The 16,515-nt window shown below is 44.5% G+C and overlaps 1 protein-coding gene across 7 annotated transcripts in view; it reads right to left on the bottom strand.

The window, feature by feature from the left end:
- STK32B (serine/threonine kinase 32B) overlaps positions 1 to 16,515 on the bottom strand; it is a 481,604-nt gene that overhangs the window by 74,449 nt on the left and 390,640 nt on the right. For 6 of the 7 annotated variants that reach the window (XM_047415924.1, XM_047415925.1, NM_001306082.2 and 3 more), the window contains one exon: positions 9,607 to 9,696. The exons of the other annotated variant lie outside the window; for it this stretch is intronic. In XM_047415924.1, coding sequence (XP_047271880.1) covers positions 9,607 to 9,696 — 90 coding nt within the window. The remainder of the gene's footprint in view (positions 1 to 9,606; positions 9,697 to 16,515) is intronic. 7 annotated transcript variants of the gene reach the window in all.

Here is a 16,515-nt window from a genome sequence, read left to right as displayed (position 1 = left end):
TAGAGACAGGGTTTCTCCATGTTGGCCAGGCTGGTCTTGAAATCCTGGTCTCAAGTGACCTACCTGACTCAGCCTCCCTAAGTGCTGAGATTACAGGCATGAGCCACCACACCCGGCCAAAATAATCCAATAAATTAACAGGCAAATGATTTGAACATATATTCCACACAGAAAATATATGGATGGCAAACAGGCAAGCAAAAAGATGCTCAACACCATTAGTTACCAGGGATTTGCAAACTGAAATCACGACTGACCTATTAGAATGCCTAATGACCTCAACGATGGGACGATACCAAGTACTGGCAAGGACACAGAACAACCGGGTCTCTCATTCGCTGCTTGTGGGAATGGAAAGAGGTCCAGCCATTCTAGAAACCAGTTTGGCAGTTTCTTACCAAATGATCCAGCAATCTCACTTCTAGGTAATTATTCCAGAGAAATGGAAATTTAAGCTCATATAAAACCTGTATGCAAATGTCCATAATGGCTTTATTCATAAATATGTAAAACTGTAAACAACTCAGGTGCCCCTCAACTGATGAACAGATAAACACGTGTATGTATATCCAGCAACAGGAAGGGACTACTGATACACACGTCATGAGTAAATCTCAAATACATCATTCTAAGTGAAAAAGCCACATTCAAAAGGCTGTATACAATATGATCTCATTTATATGACTTTCTGGAATAGGCAGAATCATAGGGGTAGAAAATCAATTGCTGGTTGCCAGGGACTGGGAATGAGGAACTTTTGTGGGGGTGATGGAACCCATCTATATCTTTATAGTGGTGGTGTTTATCTATGACTGTATGTGTTTGTCTGAATTCAGAGAGCTATACACTAAAAGAGTACATTTTACTGCATGAAAATTATTCCTCAAAACTAAGCATCTCAAACTCCATATTTATCAGTTTGGTGATTTTTAAACTGACTGTCTCCCTCACAAACAGCCAAACCAATGAGGGTAGGAATACTTATGTTTTATTCACACATGTGTTTTCAGTCCATAGAACAGTGCCTAGCATGTAGAAGGTGCTCAGCAAATCTCTGCTGAATGAATGAATGAATGAATGAATGGTTCTCAGGAAAGATAATGGACAGTGGAGCCTCACTGACCTAGGGCCAAATGCCAGCTTTGCCACTTTCTCTGGGAAGCAAACTTCACTTTCCCTGGCCTCAATAATATCTACAAAGAGTGCACAGCACTGCCATGGTGGCCCCACTGTCACAGGATCCTTGGGGTGTTGCTTCACCAACCAGAAATTTCTGTGGCTGGTGGCACCTTCACCTGCATTTTGCTTGGGCCTGAATGGCTCATTCTGCTCACTTGGCCTGGCAGGCTGCACTCAGCTTGTGCTACTGGTCCAGATCCCAAACCTGCCAAGGGCAAGCCAGGCACAGAGCCATGAGGGTTGTGTGAGCAAGCGAGCATGGGGTCCGGCCACTGCACACAGCTAGGCATCCTGGCTGTGGCGGGGTGAACAGCTCCAGGCACTGGCACGAGCGCCGGCTCCCTCCAAGGCTGCGTCTGGACCAGGCATACCGCAAGTGGCTTCCACTGTGGCCACTGGGGAACTTGGTGGTGCCCAGAAGCTTGGAGATGCCAGGAAATGCAGAGCCCCAAAGAGGGCATCACAGCCCTGGCTTGGGGAGCTCCTAAGTCTGGGCTCCCTGTAGGGCTACAGCTCTTCTCTCCTTCTCCCTTCTCTCCTTCTTGTGTTCACAACGTGGTGAGCAGGGGGCATATTTCAGCCCTGTTTGTGTTACAGCTCTTTCACTCCCACCATTCAGCAGGTCCCAAGTTCTTGTCCTGTGTCCAGGAAGAATGAGGTACATGGACAACTGGAGGGTAAGCAACGCAAAGAGGTGCTTTATTGAGCTACAGTACAGCTCTCAGGAGACCTGAAGTGGGTAGCTCCTTTCCACGGGCAGATTGTGCAGATGTCTGTTCAGCTCTCAGCTGGGTGGAGACCCACAGCAGGTAGCTCCTCTCCGCAGGCAGGTTTTCCCAACATCTGCCCCAGTCTGGCTCAGTTTGGGGTTTTTATGGGCTTCAGAGGGGAGGAAGTATGTGCTGATTAGTCCATGGGTGGCCATGGGTGGGCCTGGAAAAAGCATCACAAGTTCTCACTCCGGTCAGTGGAACTGGTGACCCAGCCCCCAGGCTTCAGACCATCCCTGGCTTGAAAGTGGGGCTTCATGGGGACCCACTCATTTCCACCTAGTAGCCTGTCTGCCTCCTGCCACTGTTCATGGGGGCCAGGCTGTTTGTGCTGATGGGCTCCTGCAGGCCAATTCTGAGCCACCCTCAGCACCCCTTCAGCCTCTCTCTCATGCTTGTTGGTGCCCAATGTCCAAAGGGGGCCAAGGTAGCAGGGGGCTGGCATGTCAGTGCTGCCCTGAGCATGTGCATACCTGGCTGGTATGTACCCAGGCTTGGCCACAACCCCACTCTGAAATCAGAGTGGGTACCAGGAGCAGGGCGAGTCCAGGCAGCAGGAACAGGTGCCCCTGAGCCTACGGGGGGAGTGGGGTTTCCCTGAGAGCACAGGGATGCCCAGGTCTGCAGCTGCAGCTGAGTATCTACAGCTGCACCCAGGAGGGCAGGAATCCCGCCTCTCCAACTCACAAGGGGGCGGCGGGGCTTCCACCTGCTCCTGGCTCCTATTGGCTCTGTGGAGCATGGAGCCCTGGCTGCGCCTCCTGCACTGCAGACAGGCCTCTGCTTCCATCACCACCACCACCCCTCTGGACTCACTGCAGTGTCCTGGGGGAAGGGAACTGACATTTGGTGAGCACTGACAATGCAACAGCCCCATCATCTCCCTAGTGCACCCACCATCCCCTGGCCAACCCAGCCCCTGCAGTGAACTGGGATTTCGTTAGTCTGTTTCTGCAACTAGAGTGTGAGCTCCATAAGGCAGGGGAATGTTGGATTTGGCTCTGTGTTCCCAGTATTTAGCATACACTAAATAATTATCGAACTATTAGCAATCAGAACAACCACATTAATATTGGCTACTGGTTGTGAGTAGTTACCTTTCATCAGGCATTATGCTATATGCCTTCTATAATTAATGTCAATAAATCCTCAAAGCAACCTCCTGAGGCTGACTGCATAAACCATTAATCCCATTTCTCAGACGAGGATTCTGAGAGGTCCTGTGGCTCAGTGGCCAACATTTCCTGAGTGTTCATCATGGTAAGTGCTTTATGTGCACCATGTCTGGTAATGAGAATCACCCAGGTTCACTCAGCCACTGAGTGGAAGACACCCAGCTGCCTCATGCTGAAGCCCACACTTCACCTGGACCATCCCCCTTGAGCCTGACCCCTAATGCTTTCCTGTTACTCATCGGTTTCTCCAAGGTCACCACCCTTGAGGCCCTAATCCTATGAGTCTGATCATAGTGGTCTCCAGCACTGAACCTTCCACTGGTTCCCTAGGCTCTCACCACAGCATTCAAGACTCCTGTGCTTTGCCCTGTCTGCTCTCTCCCTCCCCACCTCCTCTTGTCCCAGAAGCTGCAAAACAATGGAGCTGCCAAGTTCTCCCTTCACACAATGGTGCTTCACTCCCCAATGCCTTTGTATGGGTTGTTCCGTCTGCCTAAATGCCCTCTCTCTATCGTTACCCAGCAGAGCACATCCTTAAAGTCTAATTCAGATTGTCACCTTCTCCAGGAAACTGTCTTAAAACTGTCCAAAAAGATCTCATCTCCCCCTCTTCATGCCAGAAGCACCTCCTTCCAATAGCCACACCATCGTCCTCCTTGACTGTGCCCTGTGTACAACTATGTTCATACAATCTGTGTGAGGACTGGGAGAGCAGTACCCCGCTCTGCAGCCCCAGTGCCTAACTAAGCCCTGTACCTCCTAAACACTCAGTAAATGTTTACTGAATCAATGCCTTGCTCTTCATTTCACCTCAAATTAATAAACTCTGAAGCCCCACGTGGCTGCTGGAACATTCTGACTTCTAATCTGGCACATTTTAGAGAGATCTTTTTTTTTCTCCAATTGCAAATTCCATCTGCTCTTTCAATTAATGAAAATTCAGCCCTATGCAAATTTTTCTTCCGGGATCATCTTTTGTGAGTTACCTCTGGGAGCTTACTCATCAGCCCATTTTCTGAATCTGTGTTGGGAACATTCTGGGAACTTGTTACTGGGCCTTTGAACTGAACAGCTCAAGTGAGTGAAATAAACAAACCTGCCACTTGGCATTAGGAATTTACAGCCCCAGGAGCTGCAAGATTTGACTTTATTGAGAGAGCTCTCCCTTAACTCCACCTTCCCCACTAAACTCCCACTGCCTGGTACTATTCCCCAACTACAGTGTCTGAAAATACAACCATTAGGAAAATCAGCTGTGTCCTCTAAAGCCTATAAAAATCTCTTCTGTACATTTGGCCATTAAGTCAGGCCTGAAGCTTTTCTAATTGGAAAAGCTTTTTCCATCAGTAACCCCGACTCTCACATACAGCTGGGACAATGAACTTATTTCTTGGCTGAGAAAGTCGTCTTTATAATTCAGGAGCTCAGTGTCAAAAAGGCAGCTTGGTGTAGTAGCAAAAGCATAGACTTCAGATCAAAATAGACTTGGCTTCAAATTCTGGCTCCTTCACTGACCAGCTGTGTGGCCCTGGGCAGGTTAATTAACCTCTCCAGACCTCTGGTTCCTCACACATAAAATAAGAGATGTAGAAACGTCATGTGAATCTTCTGAGGATTAAATGTGAAGACAGGCAGGTAGCGAGGTCCCAATACAGGTCAGATTTCTTCTCCCTTTTGAAAGCAGGGCCATGGAGGAGAGTGCCCAGCTGGGTCCCCATGGCTCTGCTTTCCTGGAGACCAAGAACCTGGACTGGGCTGCCTCAGACAGTGTGAGGCAGGAGCAAGGTCAGGAAGCCCCAGTAGAGCCTTTGAGGAGGCTCGAGTGAGTCTGTTAGGCATGGTGCCACATGCAGGCAGAGACATCAGGGCTGGTAGAAAACTGCCTTGAACTTGGCCAGGTGTGGTGGCTCATGCCTGCAGTCCCAGCACTTTGGGAGGCTGAGGCAGATGGATCACCTGATGTCAGGAGTTCAAGACCAGCCTGGCCAACGTGGTAAAACCTTGTCTCTACTAAAAATGCAAAAATTAGCCAGGCATGGTGGCTCATGCCTGTAATCCCAGCACTTTGGGAGGCCGAGGCTGGTGGATCACGAGGTCAGGAGATTGAGACCATCCTGGCTAACACAGTGAAACCCCGTCTCTACTAAAAATACAAAAAAAATAGCCAGGCGTGGTGGCGGGTGCCTGTAGTCCCAGCTACTTGGGAGGCTAAGGCAGGAGAATGGCATGAACCCAGGAGGTGGAGTTTGCAGTGAGCAGAGATCACGCCACTGCACTCCAGGCTGGGCAACAGAGCAAGACTCTGTCTCAAAACAAAAACAAAAACAAAAACAAAAACAAGATACAAAAATTAGCCAGGCATGGTGGCATGTGCCTGTAATCCCAGCTACTTGGGAGGCTGAGGCAGGAGAATCGCCTGAACCTGGGAGGCAGAGGTTGCAGTGAGCCAAGATCATGCCATTATACTCTAGCTTGGGTGACAAGAGTGAAACTCTGTCTTAAAAAAACAAAACAAAACAAAACAAAAAAACTGTCTCGAACTTCTCCAGTGGTCCAGGATCTACACTCCTTGACATCAATTTGCTTTTCGGAAACAGCATGAAAGCAGTCAGAACGAATCGGTAGGAATACAGAGGAGGCTTCTAATGGGAGCTGCTGCCCTTACCTGGCATCTCTCTTCTCAGCACTCCCCTGTGGGATGTCCCCCTCAGCCTCCACGTGCCCCTTCCAGCACAGCATTCTTGAGCCTCAGAATCGGTTCTCTGCCTTCCTGCATCCTCCTTGGGGGATCCTGTCCACTTCCATGGCTGTGCTGCATCTCAGTGCTGGCAGGTTCTCCATCCACATGTCCAGTCTGCATCATGCCACTTCACAAACCTACTGCTCTTGCTGGGTCCCCTACAGAGTGAGCACCACTCTGCTGCACAATCCAGAGACCCGAGAAGTTGCCGTTGCCCCCATTCTCCATCCCATCAGTTGCTGAATCTCGCCCAGTTGATCTCTCTTGAATCTCAAGGCAGTGACCTCTTTGGTCAGACTTGCCCCAGCTCCAGGTCCTTCCAGAAAGCGATCTCAGAAAGGTCGTCAACAAAAAAAGCCTTGTTGGAGTAAGTGTTCAGGCTCCCATGAAGACTACTTATAAGTGAATGAATTCACTTATATGGATATCTGCTGGTATTTTTGCTAAAAAGGAGTTGCTGTCATGGGAGTCCAGGTTGAGATGTACTTCAGAGCTTGGGTTTTGGAGTCACATTGACCTGGGTCTGACTCTTGCCAACAATGTCAACATGGGGAAGTCACCCAACCTCCTAAGCCTCCATTTCCTTAACTCTAAAATGGAAAGAAATACTTGTGTCTATTTCATGTTCGAGGGCATTAAAAGAAGTTATAGGTTATAGTTAATGTGCCTGTCTTCATGTTAAATGAAATTATAGGTGGAAAGCACTTAGCTCGGTACCTGACATATAGTAAATACCCAAAAACAAGTTGCCTATTATTTATACCATTGCAGGTATTTATAGTCAAACTTCATTTATTCTATTTATTTAATAAATCAAAGATTAATGACATGAGTAGTGGATTCTAGGGATATGATGGTATAGATTTTGAATCTCCCCAAATCTGCATATAAAACAGAGCAAATAGATCACTAAACCAAAAACTCATGGATGCATTTGCTACAAAAATAAGTTCTCCTTACAACCCTCAAAATACAGGTGGGTAGCAGCAAAACACAACAGTGACAAGAAGCGCATGGTAGTGATTTCTACACGGAAAGAAACCAAGAGAAGCAACAAAGCAGCATTCTATGGACCAGAAAACAAAGAACTCCAAAATACTCAGCAGGTATTCACTGGGAAACACAGACAACGACTTTGAGAACAGCGGCTGAAGCTGGTAGGAGTTTGTACAGTCTAGTATCAGGGGCATTGAAAGGGCTCTTGATAAATTCTGAAGGAGACTGAAGAGTCTGGGACATCAAAAGTCTATAATCCACCCAGCCACAACTCCTTCCAGGAAAAAGCCCCAAGGAAAAACTGTGTGAAGTAGAACCAAACTGCCTCAGGACAGAGACCCTACAGACAAAGGAAAGAAGAACTCCAGATAAAAATGGGAGAGGAGAACAAAGCCAGGAAACCTGGATAGCAAGCTGCCTTAGATTTTGACACTTCACCAAACAATACAACAGATAGGTCTGTTAAGTTAGGAACGCTATCCTGAACCACACCATCTTCTAAAAGTTTAGAAAAACAAAGTTCACATAAAATGAGCAATTTCTACCCCTCTCTCTTGCTGGAGGCCCCTCAGCTGGCTCTATTTTGATCTCAAGTCTAAAGGTGGAATTTATCCTTCCAGGGAAATAGTCATTTCTTTTTATATCTGTAAGGAAGACAATAAGAAAGTTATAGCCGATCCCCAAAAACCTAGTGTTCATGAAGATAGATTGGAATTTAGGCTTTGCCAAGGGCTCAGGGAGGTCTCTTCTTCCTCAGGCCATGTGGAATTCAAACCCTCCACCATGTCCAAACTAAGCCTCCTCCCCCACTGCAATACCCATGTGCAACTCTAACTCCTCCAGGCGGTTTTAGGCACTGTTTATGCGGTCAGGGAAGAAAGATTTTGGTTGTTTAATTCAATATACAGTGCCTTATAAGGCACAACCTGGCCAGAGTTAAGTGAGGCCAAACTGGGAACAGGGCATTTTCACTGCTGAATGACAGACAGCAGCAGAGAGTTCAGCCAAGATGGTGGACTCCTCATCCCAGTGGTTAGTTTTCTGCGGCAAAAGTTGTACCTCTGGTTAGGTACCGCCTATAAATGCTTCATCCAGTTATCAGATTCTATGCTTCCTAAGGCCTCCTTCTTCCATTTGAAAAAGGAAAATAAAAGAAAAACATTAATAGCAGTAACCATTGGAAGAAAGGTATGGAGAAATATGGGCTTTAAATGTTTGTGCACCTTTGTGCAGCACTGATTACATTTTCTAGCCTTAAACATGTATTTCTTATATCATTTGCAATGGTAAATGGGGATTATCTAGGCATAAAACTCATGCATATGATATATTAATAATCATCAACAATTACTGAAACAAAAGAGCAACAGAAAAGTATCAAAGTCAAATTCCATACCAAGTTATTATAAGTAAAAGGAGAATGAAGAGCAGAATAACATCATTGCAATAAAAACACACAGAAAGATGTGCTGATAAAACAGAATGAAACTATAGCCTACGTTTCAAAAGAGTTAAAAGACACAGTGATGGGTTGTTTCATTAATGGTTCCCCAGTGCATCAGCCTTCTGATAGCCATGCTCCATGCAGTTCCCTTCCACGTGGTTGGCTATGTGACTTGCCTTGGCCAACAGAACACCAGGAAATGTGAAGCAGGCAGAGTCCTGAGAAGCATGGGAGAACTGGCTCTACCATCTTGAAACTGCATGTGAGGAAGCTCACTCTAGCCACTTTGATGATGAAAGACCACATAGAGAAAGAATGATATGTTCATCTCAGCTGTCCTAGCTGAACCTAGCTCCCAGCTGACCTACCAGTTGAATGCGTCTTCATGAGTGAGCCCAGCCAAACCTGAGGAAAAACCACTTGGTCAACCAAAAGAATTGTGAGAAATAACGTTGTGATTGTCTTAAACCACTATGTTTTGACACAGTTTGTTACACAGTAATTGATAACAATATAGACATTCAGAATTAACACGTAATAAAGATATTAACAAAATTATATAAGACCTGAAAAACAACATTAATTAGAATAAAAAACTCAGAAATCAGGTGGGAGAACTTAGGGAGAAAGAAATAAAGGGAAAATGATTTCAGAAATGAAGACTTCAGTAGAAAACACACAAAACAAATAAACACAATAGATAATGCCTTGGGAGAAGAGAAATATAACAATGAGAACATTTTTAAAGAAATGAAGGAAGAGGTAATAAAGATTTGAGGGACACTGACAAATGCTGAAGATTGGCAAAGAAGATCCAGCATTCAGATAAGAGGCATCCATAACCAAGAAGATAAAAACAAGAGAACAGAATGCAAACTAAAAACAATAATCCCATAAAAATTCCTTAAAAAACCATTTAAAACTACACATTGAAAGAACACTGTGTGCCTAAGAATGTAGACCTAGAATGACCACCACCAAGTTAAATTCTGGAAAATACTGAACATAAATGGAAAAGAAAATACTTGTTTTGTTTGCCACCCTCTCAAGCCTGAGCCATGGCTCTCTGGCTGAGCAGGAGTTCTCTAGAAAACCAAGAGGAGAGGGGTTGTCTAGCAGAGGAGACAGCTTGGAAAAGGTCCAGAGCTTCGAGGGAGCATTGTATCTACTGGGAACTGTGGAACCTCATGTGAGCATGGGAGGGTATGTGGCAGCGGGCAGTGGCAGATGAAACAAGAGAAGGATGCTGAGTCTTAGGCAGTGAGCCCGATCACATGAAAAGAAGGGGCCTGGAACACTCACCCATGTAGGGCTTGGTGCCAGCCATGGAGGAAGCCCTTTCTGCTCCTTTCACTACCGTCGCTATGTTGAAGTCTGTAATGTGAACATGTCCTGCAAATACAGAAACAGAAACTCCAGTTAGCGTGGGCTGCAGGCAGCTGGGTTATTTAAAGCTGTGGTTTGCAAGGTGAGATACCGTGAAGAAAACATTAGAACTTCTATTTATAATACTATCGTATCTGATACTTTAAAAATGTTTATTTTGTGTGCATGTTTCAGAATGTAAATTCATTTGGTAACTTATGCATATTATTTTTACATAAATATATTGAGGGGCAGGATACATTTTTTATGAATTAAAAGTTTGGAGACACTGATGTGGAGAATTAAAGCTCCTAGAAATAACTGAGACAGGTCACTCCAGACGCCTTCTCTCAGGAAAACTGTAGGTGGGCTATGGCTGGGGCGGGGGTAGGTGAAGAGGATTCTCCCACCCAGAGGACACTGTTTGTTCTGCTGTTTGTCCGCTATGGTCATTGGAGACCTTAGTACTGTAATTGAGGAATTTAGTAGGGAGAAGGCTGTGGTGTTGAGACCACCTTCCATCCAGGATGAAGTGATGGCAGCAGATGGGCATGGATAGGCTGGGTGCACCTACAAAGTAGGTGTTCAAGAAACATGACAAGGAAGGAAAAGGGAAAGAGAAGAAGGGAAGGAAACTAAGTGATGTGCAGATAAAAGAGGGAAACAGAAGAGAAGGAAGGAAGGGGACAGGGAGGAAGGAAACACCCAAATGGTCAGTACTTGTTTTTTGGGAAATTTTGGTCAGTACTTGCTTTTTGGGGAATTTGGTACATATAAGACTCCAGCTCAGAAAGCCTTGGATAATAGTTATAACTGCAATTACATTTCTCTCTATTTGTCTGTCATCACATCATGTGAAAATGGCTGGCTGGATTTTCACCAAACCTAAGAGTGGCATTTGGCATGTGGGACTTAAATGCATAGATGGGTGGCACATGCAAAATTGACTTTGAGGGACTTGGAAGGCATCACCAAGAGATGGGAAAACACATTCTGGAGCAGGTGCATTGAGGCATGCTGAGAAGCCCATGGGACTACATATGGGAGGGGCATGCCTGATGTGATCGGCTACAGTGGACAAAAAAAGCACCAGCAGTTTAACATACCACCCTCTAATCTCAGACTCAACTGCCAGCACTGACATGTGAGCAAGCTGCTCAGCCAACTATCTGTCCAGTGATCCTAGGTGAGATGCAGCAGCAAGGTATTTATTCAGTGAGGATCCATAATACTCTTCAGATACTTGTGGATGAAGCTGAAGTCACCCAACCAGGTCTTTGCTGGGATGCACAGTATTCCTACCTAGGCAACATTCCTAGAACATACCCAGGCTACTTTAGCCTCTGGGGCTTCCTCAGGCCCCTCCCTGTGGCTGCGATGAGTATGTCTCTATTCAACCATCCATGGTCCTGTCTGAAAAGTGGCAGTGTGTAGTAGTAGTTGGGTGCACACACTCTGAGCCAGACTGCCTTGGTTTGGGCCTCAGCTTTGTTGGGAGTAGCTGTATAACCTTGGGCAAATAATTTAATCTCCCTGGGCTTCAGTTTCCTCACCTATAAAATGGGATGATGATAATAAAATACCCATCTCAGAAGGCTGTCGCAGAAATCAGGGAGTTTATACACATGAAACGGTTAGAGTGATGGTGACATGCAGAAAGTAGAGAAGCTTCTCATAAGTGTTTGCTTTTAGCATTATTATCCTGCCGAGGAGTGGCTCAAAACCCATCTTCTCCAGCCAGGACAAATCTATCTCCTGCACCCTCCTATTCCCTTATTTCTAATACCAACAAGAAAGCAAACTCATTACTGTTTTGCACTTTGAGGCATGTGAAGGTGAGTGTATGTTGTAGTCACTGCTGTACCCCACACCCACACAGTTCCAAACAGAGTGACACATGTCAGCATTGGAAGAGGACTATGAAGCCTTCAAATATGGTTTTTGTTTGGTTTTCTTGCGCCTTCTCCCTCTTTCAAAAGTTTGGTATTTTCATTATGAAAGTGATGCCAGCTCATTAAAATAAGTGAAAGAATACAGACATGTTTTTGGGTTACCCCTTTAAGCCCCTCAATGTCTCTCCCACCCCCATGTAATCAATCACACAATTCATCTGGCTCCTCCATGATTTCTCTTTGCTTATGCAAATGTATATATGATTTCTCTTTGCTTATGCAAATGTATATCCATATATATGGGGGCTTTGGTTTGTTCTTGCAAACCAAATGAGATCATACTGCATGGGTCACTCTAAAAATTACTTTTGAATTTAGCCATGTATCATGGAGTGTGCCTAAGAATATATACCCACAGTGCTCCCCAATGTCCCCCAAGCTAGTATACATAGGTCTATCTATGACATCCACAATCCTTTATCCTCCATTCTAAGTCCAATTTTTTCCACAATTATTTTGGTGGTAAGATTTGACCCGAAACATTCTTTTTTAGTTTTATTTATTCCATTTTGGATGAATATCCACGTTTTGCGGTAGAAATATTAATGTATTTGATTACAAGGTGTTCCTCCAAACCTGTATGGAGTATTACATAGTATAAAAATATATTATTTAAGATATTATTACATATTGTGTTAAACACGTTATTTTATATTATTATCATATATGTTATTTAATATAAATGAATTTTTACATCTGAAAAAAATTCTAAATTATGAAAACATATCTGCCCCAAGGGTTTCAGATAAGAAGCCATGGACCTATAGTTACACAGTATTCCATAGGATGTCTGTATCATACAATGTATCATTTATTCAGCAATTCCCTATTATGGGTATTCAGGTTGTTTCCAATTTTGCTTGCTTAATTGTTTGTCTTGTTACTATAGAATATGTGACAAGAATTCCTGAATATATCTTTACATGTTAGTACTTTTATTTTGAGTAAATCCCCAGAAGTGGGATTGCTGGGACCAAGGGTACGCATATTATGTTCCAAAAAGTTATAATTGATGGCACTATAAACAGAATATGAGCATGTGTATTTCTCTGCACTTTGCCAGCACTAGTTGTTATCAGTGGTTTTGTTTTGCAAGTTATATGGTGAGAAATGTTACCTCGCTGCAGAGGAGGCTGCCCGTTTCCCATGTGATCAGCCTCTCAGACCCTTGGTCAGTTTTCACTGGGAGCTCCTTGTCTTCAAGATACATTTGCCCTTTTCTCTGCTATGTGTATTGCAAATATTTTCTCCTAGCCTATTGTTTGTGTTTTGACTTTGTTTATAGTGCCTTTTGCTATAAAGAAGTTTTAAAAATGCAAATAATGTTAATTTTGTTTTAAGTGTTGTTTCTCTTATAATTTTCCAATTTTCAGGAGCTACCCAAAATGATATCCTTTGTCTTTGGACAGTGTCATGCATGGATATGATTCCCTAGAACTGCAGAAGCTATTTGCGACCACAAGGAAAAACAGCATAAAGATGTAGGCTGTCCATGGAGAAGGCAGAGCTTCAAGTATAGCAGAGAAATGGTGCCAGAGCCTGATCAAAGCCTGCCTGAAGCCTGATTCCACTGAACTTCAGCTAAAAAATACCCTTTACTATCTAGGACTGTTTAAGTTGGGCTCTTTGTTCCTTGCTACTGCTAGTATCCCAACTGATGCAGACCCTTACTGACTATGTGACTTAGACAGGTTATTTAAGCTCTGAAAGCCTCAGATTCCTCAACTGTAAGAAGGGGATAATATTAATAGGGCCTTGTGGGGTAGTTATAGGGCTTAACAGGATGGTTAGGAACTGAGAACATGACATTTGAGCAAAGATCTGAAGAAGAGGAAAGCAAGCTGTCAACAGGGTTTCTGGAGGAAGAGGGCAGCTGACAGAGGGGAATGTCAGCACAAGGGCTGTGTGGGGAACCAGCAAAGATGCCAGGGAGAAAAAGGGAAGGAGTAGGAAAGGAGCTCAGGAAGGGAAGGGAAAAATGTGTCAGACCTTCTGGGCTGAGACAGGATGGTGGCTTTACTCCAAGTGAGAGGGTTTTGATATGATCGGACTCAATTTTGAATACTCTTTCAGCTGCTGTGAATGGATTACAGGGGCAAGGACCAAAGCAGGGAAACTCATAAAGAGGGGGAAAATGCAACCCCTGGCTCCTTTAAGCCACTGTTATTTAGGGTTAATAACTGGTGCAGAATAGGTGTCAAATCTCATCTTAATCCTTCAAGTGCTACTGAGAGGAGGGTATTACTAACCTTGTCTTTACAGAATAATAACCTGAGGTTCCAGTCACTAGTGTTGGGGCCAAGGTCTCAAGGCTGATATATGCAGAAGCCAGAGTGGAGCTTTCCCCGTCCCACTCTCCTCCTACAGAGCTGGGTCAAACAGTCCTGATCTCGTTACCTCCTGGCCTTCAGGGTTGCTCTGGAACAGACATGCTGCTTCCACCCAGGAATTCAGGTACAGTGGGCAACACCCTGCACGACAGACAGCAGGATTCCACTTCTGCTTTCCCCTGGCTATGCTAACTGATGAGCTGTGACTTCCCAGTGGGCCTCATCTAATGGGCAACCGAAGATGTAGGAAAGTGAAAATTAGTGCCCAACAAGATTTCCTATGAGTTCCTTCTCAGGAGAATGAAAGTTTACTATAGAATGTGAAAATACGAACTGGTTTACTTTCCATAAACTGAAAACATCCAAAAATCAAAGAGAAGGAGATCAGGACATTGTGTATGACCCATTAATACAAATGCTAATGGAGTATCGATAATCAATAACCGTGCTCCCAGGCCTGTTTACGTATCCTGTACTCCAGACATGCATCTCTTCTTTCTTTGAACACATGGAAATTCATCTCATTTCCAACCCTTTGACACCCCTTGGAATGTTCTTCCCTCTTGACTTCTTGGTAGATTTTCACTAATTCTTCAAAACTGACCCCAGGACTTACACGATTGATAGACTAGCTTTTTCTACTCTAGTTTTTGCGCTCATACTTCCACTACCAGGAAATGCACTACCACAGAGAGTGGTATCTCTATGTCTTAGTCAGTTTGGGCTGCTACAACAAAATGCTCTTAACTGGGTGAGTTAAACAACAGCCATTTCTTTCCCACAGTTGCAAAGTCCAGTAGTCTGAGATCAGGGTGCCAGCATGGTTGGGTTCTTGGTGGAGGCTCCTATGGTTCAAATGTATTTGTCAAAATTCATATGTTGAAACTTAATCAAATAAGTTACAGCCATGCCTCAGTATTCACATGGGGAACTGGTTCCAGGACACCACAGGAATACTATAATCTATGGACAGTCAAGCCTTTTATATAAAATGTCTTAGTACTTCATTTAACCTGCATACAACCTCCCACACACTTTAAATCATCTCTAGATTAATTATAATGCCTAATACAATGGAAAGGCTATGCAAGTAGCTATTTTTAGTTGTATATATTGTTTGTATTTGTATTATTTTTTATTGTTTCATTGTTACTTTTTGTCTGCTACGAAATCATTTTTGACCACTTTTTATCCACGGCTGGTTGAACTGAACCCATGGATACAGAGGACCAACTACATTAAGAGATGGGGCCCTGGCCGGGCACAGTGGCTCACGCCTGTAATCCCAGCACTTTGGGAGGCCGAGGTGGGCAGATCACGAGGTCAGGAGATTGAGACCATCCTGGCTAACACAGTGAAACCCCATCTCTACTAAAAATACAAAAAATTAGCTGGGCATGGTGGCGGGCACCTGTAGTCCCAGTTACTTGGGAAGCTGGGGCAGAAGAATGGCATGAACCCAGGAAACGGAGCTTGCAGTGAGCTGAGATAGCACCACTGCACTCCAGCCTGGGTGACAGAGTGAGACACCATCTCAAAAAAAAAAAAAAAGAGATGGGGCCTTTAGGAGGTGACTGGATTATTCACCTCATGAAACAGGCCTCACACTGCATTCACCGTTTTGATCTTCCATCTTCTGCCATGAGAGGACGCAACTACAAGATATCAACTTGGAAGCAGAGAGCAGCCCTCACCAGACACTGAATCTGCCCACGATCTTGGACTTCCAAGCCCCCAGAACTGTGTGAAATAAACTTCTATTATTTATAAACTACCCAGAAATGAAAGAGACCTTTGAGCAGTCAAATCCTATCACCTTTCTTCATTCCTTATTGTTTGTAGGGATATCATAATAGTCAGAGGAGTATTGACAACATTCCATTTTAACTCTTGATTTTTAATACTGCAGCAACCTGATGGAATAACCCCACGTGGTGTTTATCAAAGGAATTCGAGCCTGGCTGTAGCCTGGTATAGCAGTCTTACTGGGACCTCCAAGACCACAGCCTGGGAGAAGAGGACGTCTGCTTGTAGGGGCAGGCCTTGCTCTTTTTATGAACACTTTTATGGGTGCCATGCTTCCCTAGAAATTCCTGGGAGTGGGTGCAAATATTGCTCCCTCTAGAGGAAGGAAGACCAAGAGTTAGGATGAAAGGGAAACTACACACGGTCATCTGCTTTCAAGTATTCTCTGGCTGGTTTCACTTTCATCATTCTTGAATTCGGAATAAATCTCAGGTGAACATCTCTCCCCATCTCAGCTGGTTTACAGGACCCAAATTATGCCTAAGCCAGAGGTTAAAGTGGTGCTGCTTCAAAGAAGCAGCTGAAGCCCAAAAGAGATGAGAATCAGGGCTGTGGGCCCTTCAGCTCCCTCCCCTGGTAGGCTCCAGCCGTTTCCAGCAACCCTGGCTCTCTGCTAATAATAATTGCACTTTGGAGCCGTGGGCGCTGATTGTAACATTGGCTGCCACTGTTCAACACAGGATCAAACACTCTGGGCACCACACAGAACTATTCTTTTCTTCTCATTTATCTTCATGGAGATCACAGCAAACTTATCA

The sequence above is a fragment of the Homo sapiens genome, chromosome 4 (genome assembly GCF_000001405.40).
Source record: "Homo sapiens chromosome 4, GRCh38.p14 Primary Assembly".
NCBI lineage: Eukaryota > Metazoa > Chordata > Mammalia > Primates > Hominidae > Homo > Homo sapiens.
The sequence above is the reverse complement of the archived record's forward strand: the minus strand, read 5'-3'. Positions and strand labels throughout refer to the sequence as shown.